Raw genomic sequence first — 19,649 nt, forward strand, 5'->3', positions numbered from 1 at the left:
GCATTGTCATTCCTCACCTTGTTCTCATTATAGTGTACCCATAGATGGCACATTGTGCTTTTCTTAATATTTTCTTAGCCTTTTATGTACAGAAAGGGTTAAGGATTTTTCTACCATAACGGCTTATGGCATGTCTTTCCATCTCTCTCTCAGTGTGCAGTCCATCTTCCAAGTTTCCAGAAGCGGCTGAGATTTTTAAAAACAGCTGTAATCTGCGGTCATTGATGGTGGAGTAGATTGTTTGCCAAACTATTACCATAACTGTCAACCGAAATCAGAAAAATAATCTCATTGTGCTGGACAGATGCGTTTCCTGCATTATTGATATAGTCACTCTGGAGTAATAGAGAAATATAAAGCATTGTTCTATTTACAAAAGGAGATTGGCCAAGTCCTTGAAAGTGAGTATGAGGGACAGGCACTTACAGGAAGTGAGATATAGTCAACTCAGTAAAAGTTATGAGTCAGGGTCAGGTGACCTCTATAGTCAGCAGAAGAATCTCAGTGCTTTCCCTCCAGTCTCCCTCCTCACTTCCAGGCCGGTTTTGTGGTTTGCTCTCAGTCTGAAGGTGTTCTCAGAATTTCTAAATACAGCCCTGTGGAATTTGTGATGCATGCTTTATCCCACACCCCAACAGTTGCCCCGAATATGCAAAATGTTCTAATGGGTTCATTACACACCTCTGGGTAGCAAGTGAATTGCTCTAGACCACTACATTGCAGAATAATTGAATTTGTTTATTTCAAGCAGATGACCCTCAATATCCCTCTGATGCAATGAGTTAAATATACCTTATGCTGAGTGGCTTTGCAAGAACGGTCAGTAGTCTTGTACGCTCAGCAATTGCTCCACCATAATTTGAGCTGTGAGTAATGCTGTGTGATTCTATTTGTTGAGCATACATACCGTGAAATACTAAGCACACCACATTTATTATCTCTAATCCACAGAAAACAAACTCCAAGGCAGGGATACCTTTTTAAATTTCCATTTTGCTGCTGAAGAAATAGATGAAAAAGGCTCTATAGATTTCCCAAAGTGACAGAGCTCTTAAGTAGTTGATCCAGGATTCGAACCTAGGCCTGACTCTGGAGTCCATCCCTGCTGGATCATGCTCCCTTCCATTTTATTGAGATATAAGCAGAAGTATATTATGCATTGGAATATTTATATATATTTAATGCAGCTCCCCCAAATATTTATAATAGCTCTACACACACACACACACACACACACACACACACAGAGCCATTTTTCTTACGGACAGATAGCCATCTTTCTTATGGAAACAAAGGGCAAAATCATCTCTGTCCTGCACTAAAGGGCATTTAATGAGACTGGGGTGGGGGTGGATTGGCAAGCAACCTTCTTAGCTCCTAAATACGTGCATCACAAGCACCTAGACTTTAGCAAGATAGTGCCAGGTGTCTCTGAACAGTAGTTCATGAATTCTGGCAACTCCACTCTGAGTACAAGGCAGAGGGCCAGGAAATCTAAATTCTAACCTGGGCTAGTCAGAGCCTCTGTGGTTTAGTTTTCTATTTATGAAAATGCATAACCCTGGCATACTTCTTAGAAACAGCATGCCAGTTCATATATAAGCATCCCATCAATACATTGTAAGCAAAAATTCCTGTGAAATATTGTGTAGTGTCCATAGTGGAAACTTAAATTCATATTAAAATTAATGGCCATATGATAATTAATTCGTGTCCCAAAGATCTGCTATTGTTGCTGTTTTTTTCTTTTGTTAATTACGATGTCCACAGAAATGGTTCAGCATTTTGAGATTCTGAGAGAAAAGTGACAGGGAGTATTGATGCAGTTGTAGGGCCACGTAGCACTCTTGTTGGGAGAGTTGTTGTATTTATGCTGTCTTTCTGGTCTGGGGACTAGGAAACAGGCGCAAGATGTATGCTGAAACTGTGTCTGGGAAGGGTAGGCTGTGGCATAGGATGAAAATCTTGGGCAAGGAAAATCTAGTCCTTCAGGGCCTAGACTATCATCTACACTTTTGGTTCAGATGTTCTGCACCCCACCAACCTGCCACCCCCATCCTCATAGAGGAAGCACAGTTCACTGCTCCACCTGGGGAGGCCCAGTTGCGAGAACCCTGCCTTGGCATCAGCCCACCTGGGTTCTACACTGGGATCGTGTTGAAACCCACAGCAAGAATGTTAACACATCACTGCCCATCTTGAATTGTAGTTCCTCAGCTGTAAAATGAAGGAGCTGATTGAACTGAGCTTCAAGATCACTTGCAGATCTGAGATTCAATGATTCCCCAAAATAACATTATATGACTCTTCTCAAATTATTGATTTTAATTCCTCCCTGGGTGGTGATGGTTTTCATCCAGCTGACGGTCCTATTTGTCTTGTACTCTTGTTTTGCCATCAGGATCCCCTGAAATGCTGGGCACACTGACTAGCCTCTTGTATAGAGTCTCAAGCCTGTGGCCAGAAGCAGCTGTGTGAAGTAGCCGCTGTGATGGATTGGGACCACAGATACCACTTTGGAAGGAAAGGTTCCAGAAACCAAAGCTTGGGCCATGGGTCTCTGGGAAACTGCAGCAGGTATGTTCTGCCTATCTGGCTGCTTTCTTCTTGCTGATCTATTGTTTTTCAGATTGAGAATTGGTTTTCCTGAAGCAAGAAAATAAAATAAACCCCACAAGTCTGAAGAGCATAGAGAAGAGACAGAGGAGCCATAAGCAGGGAAGAGAAAAAACACAAACTGATGTTGTATAAAAATAAATGAATAAATAAATAAATAAATAAATAAATCTTCAAACAAGAACCTTCCCCCTCCCTCCTACACACATCCTTTTCTCAGTTGCACACTGAGGTATCTTTCCTCTCTTCTCAAAATATCTTCTTAAAACAACATAAAAAGAAGGAGCAATTATTTAATATAACTCATTTCTAAAAGTGAACTTTCTCCTGTAGACACAGAACTGATGGAAAATTATACAACCGCGAAATGAGATGATAGCATGTCTTTTTAAAAATTTGTTCTGCCAATTATGTAGCAAGGGTTTAATTTAATAATTATGTTAAAATCTCCAGGTATTTATCTATTTTTTTCTTTAAGATGTATTCATTTTTGTTTCACATATTTTGAAGCTGTTATTAGTTAGATATGCATTTAGGATTATTAAGTTTTCTTGATGAATTGATTCATTTACCACTATGAAATTTCTCTATCTCCAATAATACTCTTTGTCTTGAAGTCTTTTTTTTCTGCTATTGATATATTAATAGCTAAATTATGTTTCTTGAAACTATTGATGGAAGAGAGTATCTTTTATTTGCACTTTTAGTTCCCACCAGCCTGTATTTATATATTTCAAGTATGTTTCTTGTAAGCAGAAAGTAGGTGATCTTGCTTTAAAAAAATAAATTCAGTCTGACAATCTTTGCCCTTTAAGTGGAATAATTTGTCCATTTGCATTTAATATAGTAACTAATACAGTTTTTTATCTCACCCTTCTTTGTCTTCTTTCATTCCATTTGGTATTCGTTCTTCGGTTTGTCCCTTCCTGCCTTCTTTGTGTAGGTTCTATAATTTTTAATATTCTATTTTAGCTCCTATGTTTACTTTTTAGCTATTTTTCCCTTTTTAATATTTTTTCTAGCAATCATAATAATTAGCTGTAAGTTATGGTCTACATTTGAAGCACATTATGCTACTTCATATACAGTGTCAATATGTTACTACAGTACCATTTGGTCTGGCTTTAGTTTTAAACATATTTTTCTAGGATGTTATATACAAATTCAATAGCGCGGCAGAACATAACTTTTATTTTGGGTCGTGGAACTGTTGAGAAACAGAGGAAGGCTCTGGGTCTCCAGTTATACATATACACAGAAAGAACTTTGCATGTAACTTCAGGAGATTTATATCCACCTGGAGGCCAGTTTGTGGACTCTTTGTATAGGACAAAGTCTGTTTTTTTCAGCTAGCATTAGTATGGAATCTGAAGCAGAAACTTATTGATAGAACTTGAAAAATAAACCAAAATAATAGAAATGCCCGAGGATGAGGGCTAAAAAAGGTTTGGGGTCAGAGGAAAGAGAAAGAAAAATATAAATTAAGAATTACTCCAAAATTACTTTACTAAGGTATCTTTATAGCACCTAATTATCATCCTGTTACCATGGGCCATACATGATGCTAACATTTGACCAGGTACTTAAAAAAGTTATTGTAGGCCAGGGGCAGTGGCTCATGCCTGTAATCCCAGCATTTTGAGAGGCCTAGGCGGGCAGATCACCTGAGGTCAGGAGTTCGAGACCAGCCTGGCCAACATGATGAAATCCTGTCTCTACTGAAAATACAAAAATTAGCCAGGTGTGGTGGCACACACCTGTAATACCAGCTACTTGGGAGGCTGAGACAGGAGAATCGCTTGGACCCGGGAGGCGGAGGTTGCAGCGAGCTGAGATTGTACCACTGCACTCCAGCCTGGGCAACAAAGAGTGAAACTCTGTCTCAAATAAAAAAGTTATCATACAATCTCTTAACAACCATGAGTTTTTGAGCTTATATGCATTTATAACATACAAGATAGTTGTTTTTAGAATTTAAAAGTTGAACAAACTGTCTTCCAGATAGTTGATCTCACTTGTTCACAATTAAACAACACATACATAGATCAAGGATTCATATTGCCCTCTTCCTAATTCTGAGCTATCAGTCTTTCCAATTCTCCAGGTGGTCAGAAGAATTTTCTATCACCTTGTTGCCTAAAAATACATATTTTCATTCAGAGTAAATAGATTATAATGCTACAAGTATAATTCAGGGAACCTTTGGTGTCGTAAAATTGGTGGAATTATTCCTCTTAAAGCAGGACTGGAAATGTGTTTCAGCGTAAGCTGGTTTCCAGGACTTATTTCCTATCCTGAGCACTTGGTACCCTGAGAACACCCAAGTAGCGTAAGTAAAGCAGTTGTTGATTGGGATGAAGACAAATGAACTCATCCTCCAGGTGAGGAGAGAGTTAATTGCTCTGCTTATGGGCACCATAAATTATTACTCAGTACAATTTCTGAAAACCTGTGGCCAAGGAAAGGGTGTCCATCTCATTGATAAAATTTGGCTTGTTCACCCAGAGACATGACATCTTGTTTATATGTATATATAACTGGGCACTGGGGTTAGGGTGTTTTCTACTGACTTACTAGATGGCCTTGAGAGAATGCTATACACCTTAAATTGTCTTCTTTGTTTAAACTGAATATAATACCTTCTCAAAAGGTAGCTAACATTTACAAAACAGCTAAAAATACTTCCTTAAAGGAGTTGTGATAGGACAGCCCGATTTGTTCACATACCACTGTTTCCAAAACATGTGCAGAGACTCAAGGAAGTTACCAAAACAATTAAGAATTGATTTAATTAACCTTTGTATCTTAGTATTGACCCAGCCTTTATAACAGCCTCTTAAACTCTGGAATACCCCAAGTCCAGAGTGTAGGCGTGTTTGCACACGCACACACGCACTCACACACATTCACACACACACCCAAACACATATACTCTCGCGCAGATACACCAACTGCAACAGCATTTTTAATTGAAAAGCATAAATTTGGAATGCTAAAACTATTAACGATTTGTTTTAATTAGGAACCCAGCTGCTTCCTGAGATTTTGCAGTCTGGGTTTCAGAACTTTTGCCATACTGAGAACGAGTCTCAAGTGGGTTGCTTTGGTCTTCCAGATCAGCATTTTTAAAAGACTTGTTGGAAGGGGGAGCTGCAAATGCTTCTGAGCTGTAAAATTACAGCTGCGTTTGTCCTTGGATGAGGTTGGGGCTGCTTTGTTATTGTAGCCAGCACCCTGCCCTTGACCTCTCACTTGGGCATGTTAAGTCTAGCAGGCTACCTGATCTTTGGATCATCTTGCCAAGTTGGCTTACAGATATGCAGCATCATGGATTTTGAGGTCCCTACTTATTCCACCATCAGTAGGGGGAGCTGTTACTTAATTGAAGTCTAAAGCGCCTCTCTCTTTTTCTTTAAATATTTGACAAGCTGAGAAGATAGTTCTTGAAAGTCAGTTAAGGGAAGTAGAGTCTGAGGAGCAGTAACATTTTTATGTGCCTCTTTTCTGATGTTCAGCTAATGCCAGCCATAGAACTTGTTATTTGGATAACATTAAATGGAGTATAACACATTCTGTTCATCAGTGAGCGTGGAAGCCATTCATTAGTCTATTCACTCACTCACTAATTTGCTCATTTATTCATTCAATCTTTCTTGATTGCCTACTATGTAAAATGCATGGTGCTATGAATGTGAAGATTACTAAAACACTGCTTCTGCCTTTCAGGAGTTTAGAGTCTAATGGATGGAACACAGAAGCAGGAAAAAAATTGCTGTAGAATATGATAAAGATTAATAGAGGTATGTACAAAGCACATTGGGGATAGAGGGAAGGGAGTCGGGAGATACTTTCTGTGGTACTGGGAATGCGTTTACCAAATATTAATATTTGTTAAATGAATATTGGTAAATGGTCAATAGATGGGTGAATGAATGGATGAAGAGAAAAAGGAGCTGACAGGAAAGTGAGCACAGGCAGTCTAGGAAAACCAGTTTGAAGAAAAGCTTAATGAAAGGGTATGTTAAAGTTGCAAAGCGTGAGAAGAGCAAGGTGCCATGGAAAGAGACTTAACAGGGTGCTGAGAGGTGAAGCTTGTGAGAGAAGGCAGCTGTTCATGAAAGGCTTTTTGTGCCATGCTAAGGAGCTTGGACTTGATGATCAAGAAGCTGCTGGACCAGGGGAGAGATAAAGGGAGAGCTATAGTTTAGAAATGTCATTTGGGCAATGATGTGAATGATGGTGTAGAAATGTAAGACTAGAGGTGGAACAGAAAAATACACTTGAAGGTATTTTTAATACAATGAAACTTTTCTAGGAGTCTGCAATAAAGACTGACAGATTGGAAAGATACTTAAAAAACAAATCAGCAGGACTTAGCAGGTTATTGAATGTGGGATGCTGGCAATTTTAAGGAAAAAATAGTGTTCACGGTACTCCTTTGTAAGTATAGACATGCCTCTGCAGAGAACCATTTTTCTGAAATTGATATATACAGATAAATTGCAATGGATAGCTTGCTAGCTATTTGGAGAAGTCACCTGGAAAAGTCATATTGCAATTTAAATATCATAACGATGGAGTATAAAGTTTGGACTGGACAGTATCAATATTTATATAAATTCAATTATGAATGGAATATTTTGAAATATTTTGTGATTTAAAATAGACAATTCATTCAAATGTATTTATCACCGAATTTATCAAGAAAATTTGTTCAACATCGATACAATAGGAAATAACTATAGAATGGATGTTGACAAATGACAACTCATGGAGCAAACCCAGTGCCCACACTTCCCCACCTGTTTTTGTAAATAAAAGTTTATAAATAAAGTTTTATTGGAATACAGCTATGCTCATTCATTTATATATTGTCCATGGCTGCTGTCATGCTACGATGGCAGGGGTGAGTAGTCATGAGAGAGACTGCAAGCAGTTCATTGGTTTGTGTAAGATAAGAGGTAGATCATGCATGCGTGCCCAGGAGCACTCAGTATAGAGTGTGGGGTGACCTAGTTAAAGGGTCACTGGAACCCATAGACATAAACCAAGACCCAGGCACCCCAAGAAGCAGCCACAGGAGGGCAGCAAAGTCACATGACATTAAAAATATCTATTTGAGAGCAATGGTGGCCAGCAGTGTGTAGATTACAAACCATTTGGTATTTCATGTGACAGCACCAAAGTCCAATAGAAATTTCTTTAGCATGAATGTATATGCTCAGTAGTCTCTTTTGGATCCAAATTAAGAAGTATTCAGAAATAAAATCTGCTTTTGGGAGAAGCCAAATTTTTTAAAACAAAAGAGACTTTTGATTAGGATAAAATGTGTCAGTGCAGGATACTGACACTTTTTACTTCATAGAGAACATCGATACAAATCCATTTAAATAAGCATTCCCATTTTAATTGACTTTTTCACAAGAAGAGCAAGATGAACACATTGCAGCACATAGTTCTTCCATGGAAAAATACAGCATCATTTAAAAAAAATGAACACTGAGAAATAGCATTTATTTATTTTTTTTCTGCTTTTTTTTCCACATTGATTTATTTTGTAGCCTACTTGGGCCAAACATTGCACTGGAGAAGAGGGATACAGAGAACAATGAAAAGAGAGTGACGAAGTTATTTTATAATTTTAAAACCACACCCACATCAAAAATAATAAACATCTCTGGAAAAAAGCACGACTTAAAATGTTAGTCTTGGTTTATTTTCTGTTTTCTTGCCTTGATTTTGGCCCTATATCAAGCCACTTCTCAATTTCAACATGTAGATAGCTTAAAATCTTTGGCTTGGGCTGGGCACGGTGGCTCACACCTGTAATCCCAGCACTTTGGGAGGCCAAGGTGGGTGGATCACAAAGTCAAGAGATAGAGACCATCCTGGCCAACATGGTGAAACCCCGTCTCTACTAAAAATACAAAAATTGTATGGGCATGGTGGCATGTGCCTGTAGTCCCAGCTACTTGGGAGGCTGAGGCAGGAGAATCCCTTGAACCCGGGAGACAGAGGTTGCAGTGAGCCGAGATCGCGCCACTGCACTCCAGCCTGGCGACAGAGTCTCGCTCTGTCAAAAAAAAAAAAAAAAAAAAAAAAAATCTTTGGCTTGGTGAACGGAAGTTCTTAATTTGAATATTTGAATATAGATTAATTTACCTAATTCTTCTGTTATGGTTTGTAAGTTTTGACAAGAATTTTTTAAATTAAGTGGGTTTAAAATATTAACAGTAATAATTTTTGGAAGCTGTATTAAATGTTTCACTACACTTCTAAGTCATCAGAATACTGGTATCTATTCGATAGATGAGCTAACAAATCGTCTCTTGAAAGTGATCTGGTTATCAGTGATCCTTACCTCATTGACTTTTGTCAACAGTAGATATTCCTTGTTTGCACATACTGCATCTGCAATAAATGGTTGCTAAAAATTATTTTTAAATCTCTTATATTTGGAGGACAAGTTAATAATTTACAACTCCTTAATTAGGATCTATTTTGACCAGGTCTTTCCAACTGAGGAAAAATATCAATTGTAGCAATTAAAAATGTAAAATTCTTATTCTTTGATTGTTTCAATAGTTAAAGCCTTAGACTTTGGGAATTAGAAAAAGTCTTTGGTAAAAATATCTAACTTGGAAAAGCTGTGGGTGTGTTGTATATGCGTGTGTGAGGTGTGTGTATCTCAGGTTTGGTGTAGCCATAGAAAGATGTGTATATGTATTTATAGCTCTTGTTTTTTGGCCATAATACATATAGTGTCTACAGTTAAAAATGTTCTGAAGAAAATAGCACATTTGAATGTTAGATACAACCTCCTTTCGCTTTAAACAATTTCTCCAGTTGAGCATGACTTTTTCGTGTTGAATCCTCTGAGATTCACTTACAGCATGTTTTGTCAGCCTGTCAAGAGTGAAGAACTCTTAATTTAGGCATGATCTCCCACTACATATTTGGATTCCCCAAACCGAGTCACATTTAGTAAAAGGATCCTGAAGCCTATACAAGCAGACAGAAACTTCAGTAAACAAGTAGAAGATCTAGCATTTTAGCTAGGCAGTCCTACATTTCAAAGAAACATGTTCCCAGCAGAAAACACATTATTTATATGGTGGTCTTGACAAAAAGTCAGTTTATCAACACATGGCACAATATATAATTTTCCTGATTTTCTGAAATCTTGATGTTTTCCAAAATTCAGTCTTCTGTTAGAGACGCACATTGAATTACAGTCATAGTTTCTCTGATTAAGAACAAAAACAAAACAAAAATCAGATGAAGAAGTGAAAAAAGAGAATGGAAAAGAAATAGGAAGATTATTTCTTAGGAATGTGTGCAAGTGTGGCACCCCATTCACAATCTAAATGTTTCTTAAGCCCCTTCAAATTAGAACATGGGTTAGAATAAAAGTGAATACTCTTGCCTTTGAGAGGTTTACATTTTAAATAATGAAGAGAGAGTAACATTTCATTGCATAGTGGTATATGGCATTTGGATTTTTAAAAAATGTTCCAGGTCTCTAAATCAGGAAAATGATATAGCTATTAGGGAAAGGGAGAGGCTTCTTTCCCTAGCAGCTGGTCATTATATGATATATGTATTTGCTTATATTGAAGATAAAGATACAATGTCAGTGTTTCTATATAACTGGAAGAATAAAACCACATCCCCAAAGGCTGGAACACCAAAAGGACCTTATTTAACAAATAGGCCCTTAATTCAAAAGCTTTAGCTTTCTTGTTGTAGTGTTGTTCAGGGAATGACTAAGAAGAGTCACACAGATTTTAAAGATAAAGTTTAGTAACATTTAGTTAAACTGAAAAGAAAATTCCTTTTAGAATTTTGGTTGGAATTAGATTGCAGTTATTTAATAAATAGGAATACTGAAAAGTTTAAAATTTTTTCTTTTTAGACAAGGTCAAGCTATTTCTTCCCATTTATTCATGTTTTATTTTGTGCTCCTTAAAAGAGGCGTAAGGTTTTCTTAATTTTAGGTTTATTTCCAATTATTTATTTTTGTTGTTGCTATTATTGATTTCTGTCTTAAACTGTCTGCTTGTTTGCGTAAATTTCATTAAAAATACATTTAAGAATAAAGATATTTTTAAAAAGAAAATATAGTAAAGCTTGACTAACTTTAGCATATAGTAAAATATTTCATACAGGTACAATAATTAAACCAATTTGGTTGTGGGACTAAAGAATACACAGATCAAAAGAATAGAATAGAGAGTCCAGAAATGAATCTAACTGCATATGGGAATTTAGTAATTTATAAAACTAGCATTTCAAATTAGTGAAAGGAAATGTGTTTCCCCTTAAAATGCATTGGATCAACTCAATTGCCATTTGGGAAAAATAATAAAGGTAGATCTCCACCTTACCTCCTAAACCACACAACAAAGCTAAATAAATAAAAGATTCAAAAGTTGAAACCTTAAAATGAAGAAAATTTTATTAGATTTTATTATAAATTAAAAGATAATGCTTTCCTAAGCATGACACATGTGCATGAAAGGAAAATAAAAATCAAAGCACATAAAAGTTAAAATTTTTAGATGGCAAAATATCACAAAGTAGAACTACAAATAACAAACTGAAAAAAATTATGACAGATAAAGAATAATTTCATCAATGTACAATGAGTTTTTATACATCAGTGTAAAAGGCAATCAAATAAAAAAAAGGACAAAACATTCCAGAAGGTAATCCTCCAGAAAACAAAAACAAATGGCTAAACAAAGGAAAGGATGTTAACTTTGTTCATTCTGAATAAATGCAAAATTCAACAGAGTTTTATAACTTTTTTCTCTAAGATTGTCAATGTTTTAAAATTTTATTATAAACATCGTTAATGAGTACATGGAGAGAAAGGCATTTTACTCTTGTAGGAGTGAAAATTGGTGTAAAATTTGGACAGTATCTTAGCTATATGTATTAAAAGCATAAATTCATATAACTTTTGACATAGAAATTCAAATTATCCTACAGTTATATTAGCAGAAGTGTTGAATGACCAATTTCAATATATGTATTCAGTACAGCTTGAAAAGTCTAGTAAAGATCATGTTATACATGTATATAAGCCCAGATAAACCAATGATGGTGGAAAACTAAGCTTTCATTAAAATATTAAATGTGTACACATGCATTGATTTACAGTGGCGTCTAGGATACTGATAAGTACAACAAGCAAGTTGCAGAGTAGTGGGTATAGTAAGAATTTATTTTTGTATAATATATATCTGCATAGTTGCCAGGGTCTATGTGTGGGATGGACAGTGTGATTACAAGGAGATAATATGAGAGAGTTCTCAAAGAGGATGGGATTCTTCTGAATTCTAACTGTTTTGTGCCCTAAATGTGGTAGTGATTACACAAATATAGCTAAACACGCACACGTCTGTGTGTATATTATACGTATCTCCATATAACTGAGAGTAACATCAGCAAGATGGCAGACTTGGAGGCTCTAGGACCTTATTTCCTCATGGAAACACTAAATAAACAACTAGAAACTAACTAAAGTAATTTTACAGGTGTTCTGGAAATCAGCCAAAGATCTATAGCAACCAAATAGACCCTTAATGAAGGGGAAAAAAAGCCACACTTGAAATGGTAGGAAAATTTTATAGCATTTTTATTTACCATTGCCTGTCTCTTGTGTGGCATGTAACAGGAAAAAAAACAGACTTCATGTTAAAACTGTTACATGACACAAAGAAGGACATTATATAATGATAAAAGGATCAATTCATGAAGAAAATACAGCAATTGTAAACATATATGCACCAAACAGCAGAGCTCCTAAATATGTGAAGCAAACATTTATAGAACTGAATGGAGAAATATATGTATCTACAATAATAGTAAGAGACTTTAATACTCCATTTTCAATAATGAATACAAAAACCAGAGGGGAGATCAGTAAGGAAATAGAGAACTTGAACAGCACTGTAGACCAAATGGACATAACAAGCATTTAAAAAACACTCCAGGCAAAAATAGCAGAATACACATTCTTCTCAAGTGCACATGGCTAGGATGTGGAGAAACTGAAATTCTTTTGTGCTGTTGGTGGGAATGTAAAATGATATATCCACTATGAAGAACAGTATTGTGATTCCTCGAAAAATTAAAAATATAATTATCATACTATTCATTAATTCCACTTTTGGATATCTACCCAAAAGATTAAAAGCAAATACTTAAAGAGATATTTGTACACTCATATTCATAGCACCATTATTCACAATAGTCAAAAGGTGAAAGCAACCCAAGTGTCCACTGGCAAATGGATAAATTAACACAATAGAATATTATGCAGCTTTCAATATTAAGGAAGTTTGGACACATGCCACAACGTGGGTGAAACTTGAAATGAGCCAGTCACATAAAGAAAAATATTGTATGATTCCACTTATCTAAGATATGTAGAGAAGTCAAATTTATAGAGGCCAAAGTAGAATGGTTGTTTCCGGGACTGAGGCAAAGATGTGATGAAGAGTTGTCAATTAATAGATATAAAGTTTCAGGTTATCAAGATGAAAAAATTTTGGAAATGGATCATGATTATTGGCTGCACAACACTGTAAATGTGCTTTATTCCAGAACTGTACACTTAAAAATGGTTAAAATAGTAAGTTTTATATGTACATTTTACCACAATGAAAAAGCACAAAATCATTGATCTATAAAGACAAAAAGGAAATTCATTTTATTGCATAAAAATATAAAAGCATATTTATATGCATATTGCTAAAAATATAAAACTAAACTACCATTAATGTCTGTATCTCTGGAATAGGAAAATAGACCTGGGATGGGCTTGGATACTGTCACTGTTCATTATAAATCTTGTTTCTTGTTTTAATTATCATGAACATATTTTATTTAAGAATGAAACATAGTAATTTAAAATATCCCCCCCTCAGCCAGGAATGGTGGCTCATGCCTATAATTCCAGCACTTTGAGAGGCCAAGGCAGGAGGAAGCCAAGAGTTTGAGATCAACCTGAGCCACAGACCCCCATCTGTACAAAACAAACAAACAAAAGAAGCCAGGTGTGGTGACACATGCTTGTGGTCCCAGCTACTTAGGAGGCTGAGGTCAAAGAATGACTTGAGCTCAGGATTTTGAGGCTGCAATTAGCTGTGTTCATTCCACCGCACTCCAGCCTGGGTGACAGAGAGAGACCTCATCTCTACAAAAAAACAAAACAAAAAAAGTGATCTATGTCTCAGCAATGTGCATTATTCTTATTTGCATCGAACCAGACAGGGCTCAGTGTGAACTCCACTCTGAGAGGCTGCCTTTCAAATGATGGAGCACTTAGGAAAATATTGTTTTTCTTTCTTATAGATTTAGAATAGAAGTAATGCTTGCCTTGGGAGATATATGGAATTGTGCCTAGTGTGTGTATGTGTGTTTCTGTGTACCCATGCACACATACATGCTTATTCATGTGTGTATGTGGGCTTCCATGCATCTCTGGAAGCCAACAGTTATCAACCAGAAATTGGAAACTTAAAGACGTCTGTCTGCCTCTAAGCTGGGTAAGGACACTTGTGAAAGGACAGAACACAAATTGCCTACTCTGCATTCTTCTGCTGAACTTAAAATGGATTCTCCAGCACCTCAACTCTTCTTTATGGCATTGAGTTGCAACCACAAACTGTTCTGTTAGAGCCTCCCTAGGCAGCGTTCTAGACAAAAAATTCAGACTTGGGCAGACATAAAAGTGGCAAAAGGGTAATAAATTTCGAGATGAGGCCAGTTCCTGCTGAACGGAGCTTCTTGAAAGGCAAATGGAGATTTGCATTGCAGAGTATATAACAGTGGTTCCTAGGACAATCTTTTTGGGGACAAATTTGCAACAAAACCTGATAATAGTGTAGTAGTTGAATTCATGTGTACAGTCTAGATTGGAGCAATATCATTTGACAGTATTGGTGAGTTTCTTGCGCAGGCACAGACGAGCCATTGTCAGGCTGGTCAGATTCAATAAAATACATTCAGTTAAAAGAAGGGCCCAGGCCAGGCGTGGTGGCTCACGCCTGTAATCACAGCACTTTGGGAGGCTGAGGCGGGCGGATCACAAGGTCAGGAGTTCGAGACCAGCCTGGCCGATATGGTGAAACCCCCATCTCTACTAAAAATACAAAAATTAGCCAGGCATGGTGGCAGGTGCCTGTAGTCCCAGCTACTCAGGAGGCTGAGGCAGAATAGCTTGAACCCAGGAGGCAGAGGTTGCAGTGAGCCGAGATCGCTCCACTGCACTTCCAGCCTGGGTGACAGAGCAAGACTCCGTCTCAAAGAAAAAAAAAAAAAAAAAGGGCCCTAAGATGGTCTTGGATGACAGGACTCACATTCTTTGCTGGGCCTTTGCTGCTTGACCTGCCAGACTACTGAATTCCTGCTCTGCATTTCTCCCATAAGACAAGGCAGATCTAGTTCCTTGGGGACTACAGCCTTCCTTGACATAGCCTACTGCAGTGTCACACACCCAGGCTGCAGTGGCAAGGGCTGTGACTTCCTATTCTTTTCTAGGCATGTACATCCTCCTCCTCTTCCTCTCTACTGGCCTAAAGGTAGCCAGGATGTGTTAATAAAGTTTCCTTTTGTTTTACTCATACTTGCTTAGTCTTTGCTCTCTTTAGTTAGGAAGAGCAACTAAAGTTAGTAGAGTTAGTAGAGTTTCAAATTCTACTTTGGAAAAATGAAATGCATGTTTAACCAATATTAAAAAAAAAGAATCCTTGAGGCCAAAATAGCAACCTTAGGAACTAGGGTATGGCATACAACTCTGTTTTGTTGTTGCTGCTATTGTTTTGGTCACCTTGGGGGTTTTCTTTCTCCTGCGTATTAACCCCTTGACTCCACAAACTCTTACACCAGGGGTGAGCTCTTGATTCCGCCTGGACAAACATAGCACCCCTTTCCTCTGAACACATGACTCAGTGTTATATTATATGTGTTTATTTTTATTGATTTAACAAACATAAAGCATGCTTATTATGTGTCAGGCACTATTGTAAGCATTCTACAAATATTAACTAATTTAATACTGAAAATAGCAGAAAGTTGAATCCAGTCCATGTGGTACAGGGGACTCTAATGAAGAAATTACTTCCTGAGTTGTGGATAGAGCAAAAGGGAAAAATCAGGGATATGAGGCACTCAGAGACTAGCAAGAGTGGACAGGCTTTGCCACTTCCAAGCCTAAAGAGGCACGAATGGAAGTTGTGTTAGCAAAGAACAGTGAGAGCTGGGGCCATGCAGATGGGCCTCTCTTTGGGAGCTGTGTTCCTGGAAGGACACAGCCAGTGCCAGCAATCCGGCCCACAGTAGGAAGAAAGAAATACCACAGTCTCTGCCTCTTGTTGTCCTCCAGTCTTCTCTCAGGACCTCCCAGTGGTCAAGCCCAATTTGAAGCCAGTTGGCCAGGTAGCCAGGGTGATACAATACGCAGGAGTCAGCCTCTCTGGGAACAAAACAGAGTAAAGAATGGACCGCAGCAAATGAAAATAACCAGTGAACATTCAAACCATTTTAGTAATTAAGCAGAGACAAATAAAAATAATAAGTAAACATTAATTATTTTTATTCTACCTCTAACTTTATAAACCACCCACATTAACCCTTATAAAAAACTGAAGTCATAAACTAGACAAATGTCTAGATTCCAGCTGTTAGAATTCAGCAGAGCATTCAAACATCACAGAAAGAAACTCAGGAAGCCAGCTGGCTGGGCAAAGATTTTACATTTACTATTTCTTTTTGCCAGATAATTCTACGGTAGTCCACAGACTTCCCTCACACCAGCCCAGCCTATGATATTGATACTTAAGGAATAAAGAGCTGTTTATATTTTGGTGGGGAGCTCATACTATCAATTTGCACATTAGTGAGGCCAGCTATTGCTCTCTTCTTGGGATCTATTGAGTGGTGGCTGGAGAGATATCTGCTGAAAAAAAAAAGAAAAACCTTAGCTGTCTGATGAAATGTTTTAAATGCATAGGGTTCACCTTGGGGTTGGCTGCCGTTCAGATTTTATCCATTAATAACACACAGGGCTCCCTCTGTACTCTCCAGGGCTGATAGGAAAAATAGTACTACTTACAGGTCCTTGCTTTGCCTGAGGGAGGATATTCCAAATGCTGGTTGTGCTTCATGTACACACACGCATGTTTGTATGCACATCTGCTCGGCTCACATGCATGCAATGGTGCTTCCTGATTTTTTTTTTCAAATAAAATGACACAGAGGATTTTCCCATTTTGAAACATCTTAGAAAGGACAATATGTGGGTCAAAGTGAATGTGTAAGTTTATGTTTTATCGTGACACCCAGAGCTCTAAAGCATCTTCATTCATTTTAAGTCATTTGGTATTATGTTTGGAAATGGAAAGGGAAGCCTTCAAACTGTTGTCTTCTTTCAGTTTTTGCCCGATTCAACCTTCAGCTGACATTTAATCCTAAAGGGAGAAAATGAGAATTGCTACAAGAAACCAACATAAATGTATTACTTTTAAGTGTTGTCTATCATTTATTTTATTTTATTTTTTTAACAAACTGCCCTTTTTATTCCCTCTCACTCTTTCTTTGAAACATTTAGAGAAAAGGGTGTTTAAATCAAAGTCACTAATTTCTGCCACAAGTCAGTCTTCAGATGCAACCTGCTGTTAAGAATTTGGCATCATTTTGTTAAGAAAAGATTCCCAGCACAATTGTCTGAACATAGATGATGGAGATGTCTGAGCTTTGTGAATCAACGATTTGCTATGGAGAAGGGTCATTTTATTGTTAAGATTATGGGTCATTAGTGTATAAATGCATGTCAATGGAAAGAAATACATAAGTGAGGGGTTTGGAGGGTATAGAAGATCCCTGAATTGTTTCCTGAAGAGTTTTGCTACACAATTACATTTAAAATAAGAAGGGGAAAAATAAGAAGTGGAAAATTTTAGCATTTAGTAAGTGAGAAGTAATTTACTCATTTTTTTTTCTATCTCCAAAACCCAAGTGCTTCAAGTTGATTAAAAACTTTTCTATCAAGTCATTCTATACTGAATCTAAACTACTCCATTAGCTTTAAAGGAATGTGGAACTGAAGCAAAGAGGTGTCCCCACTTCCATTCTCCAAAATGAAATTGATCATCTTAGGAAACTGTATCAAACACTAAAGAAATTGTCAACCTTCAACAATCTGTGTTGGAGTAAGTATTTTAATTCATATTATTTACTCTAAAATATTAGTCTTGAAGTGAATTGCCACAATGTTACCAAGATAAGCCCCTGAATCCACAGGGGCTAGAAAGAATTGACTCCACAACCAAAATTGCTGTGGAGTCAAGGCTTAATAAATACATATTCCCTAATTAACTAAACTTTGTAAAGATGTTAAACAATGCTGATGCCTTAATAATTGTTTCTACACCTATAGCTCATTTATTTTTATATGTTATTTCTATTTTTTCCCATAACTTGAGTAAAAGGGACATTAGACTTTGACATTCTTGGCTTTCAGATTAACCATGTGACTTGGGCAAGACACTTAGCCTATTTAGGTATTGGGGGGCTTTGTTTGCTTTTTATTAGTACAATAAAGACAGTAAATACTTCATCATGGTTATGTGAGGATCAAGTGAACTGAAACATATTTGTGCTTTTTAAAAAGTTTTAGGTGTGAGAGATAATTACACTGATGACATAGCATGATGACAAAATTTTATTTCTAGATCCAGTCTTTCTACCATCTCAAAAGTCATAAAAGACACTAGAGCAATAACCATATCATTAGAACAATGGTAAAAGGACAGGCACCAAATGACAAAACAATGAGCATTCAATTTAAATCAAAGAAAATCTGACTTAAGGGTGGCTGAAGACAGTGGTGGCAGCCCACTGCATGCCTCCTTAATACAGTACAAAACAGACAAAATAATAAAGAAAAATAGACTGTACTTGAAAATCACATCCTCTGCATAACTTGAGGAAAGACGATGTACAATCTTTCAAATCACTCTAATTTAAAAAAAAAACAAAAGTCAATGATTTCCTGCCAGACCTCCACCCAAAGTAATGCCCCATTGTGGGGAAAGACAGAAGATGAAAGGCTGTGGAGGGGCCTAAACTTGAACTTAAACTGCTTCAGGAAAACAAGGTCTTCCCTAAGTCTGAAAAGTATCTGAGTGGATCCAGGTGATTTGGACAGGAGACAGGGAAATACTGGGTAGAAGAGGGTGGATCCCTGGCAAAGGCCCCACCTTCAAGCCTAGAAACCAGTGGCCCTAAATGGGAACAGGTATTCCTTTTTTCACACCCAGAAGTTGCCTTTTGGCCTGCCATGCCCCACTATCCTGACCAATATAAACCCCAAACCTCAGGCTCCAAGGGCAGATGAACAGAAGAGCAGAAGAATGGTAGAACAGTGTGGCAGAGAAGGAGAGAAAAGAAGGAGTATCTGAAAGTCAAGAGGAGGTCGTCTGGGGACAGTCAGAGAGGAGATCAGCCAATGGACAGCCAAATTCCAGGGGAAGATCATCTTCCCACTCCATCCCCTTTCCAGTTCCCCATCCATCCTACTGAGAGCCACCTCCACCACTCAATAAAAGCCCTGCATTCACCATCCTTCAAGTCTGTGTGTGACCTGATTCTGCCTGGATGCCAGACAAGAACCAGAATACCAAGAGGGCACTGAGCTGGTTAACACTTAAGCCGTCTGCAGACAGCAGAGCTAAAAGACAACTGTATCACACCCAATGTGGCTTTGGGAGTCACAGGCACCCACCCCTAGGTGCTACCATGGGGCCAGAGCCCAGAAGCGCTTGCCCCCACTCCTGCACCTGCCCATCTGTGTGATCCCTGTCCCTTAAGGTGTTCGAGCACCCATGGTAGCTGAACAGACAAGCCACATCCCCGTTGCACATCTTGCAATGGGAGTCAGGGAACTCTCCTATTTCACAGGCATGGGCTATAAGCAAAGGTTTCAAAATATGTGCAAATTAAAGTGGTAGGCTGAATTTAAC

At 37.6% G+C, this 19,649-nt stretch overlaps 2 long non-coding RNA genes across 2 annotated transcripts in view; one reads left to right on the forward strand and one right to left on the reverse strand.

The window, feature by feature from the left end:
- Positions 1-274: 274 nt before the first annotated feature.
- Positions 275-19,649, forward strand: part of LOC105370991 (uncharacterized) — a 152,871-nt gene continuing 133,496 nt past the window's right edge. Inside the window, exons 1-3 of the long non-coding RNA XR_002957693.2 lie at positions 275-401; positions 2,402-2,577; positions 6,343-6,416. This is a non-coding gene — a long non-coding RNA (uncharacterized LOC105370991). The remainder of the gene's footprint in view (positions 402-2,401; positions 2,578-6,342; positions 6,417-19,649) is intronic.
- LOC124903581 (uncharacterized) lies at positions 12,236-17,096 on the reverse strand. Its single transcript, XR_007064798.1, has 2 exons — positions 16,742-17,096; positions 12,236-16,102 (listed from the first exon to the last, which is right to left on the reverse strand). It is a non-coding gene; the product is annotated as an uncharacterized LOC124903581 (long non-coding RNA).

This window comes from Homo sapiens, chromosome 15 (assembly GCF_000001405.40).
Source record: "Homo sapiens chromosome 15, GRCh38.p14 Primary Assembly".
Taxonomy (NCBI): domain Eukaryota; kingdom Metazoa; phylum Chordata; class Mammalia; order Primates; family Hominidae; genus Homo; species Homo sapiens.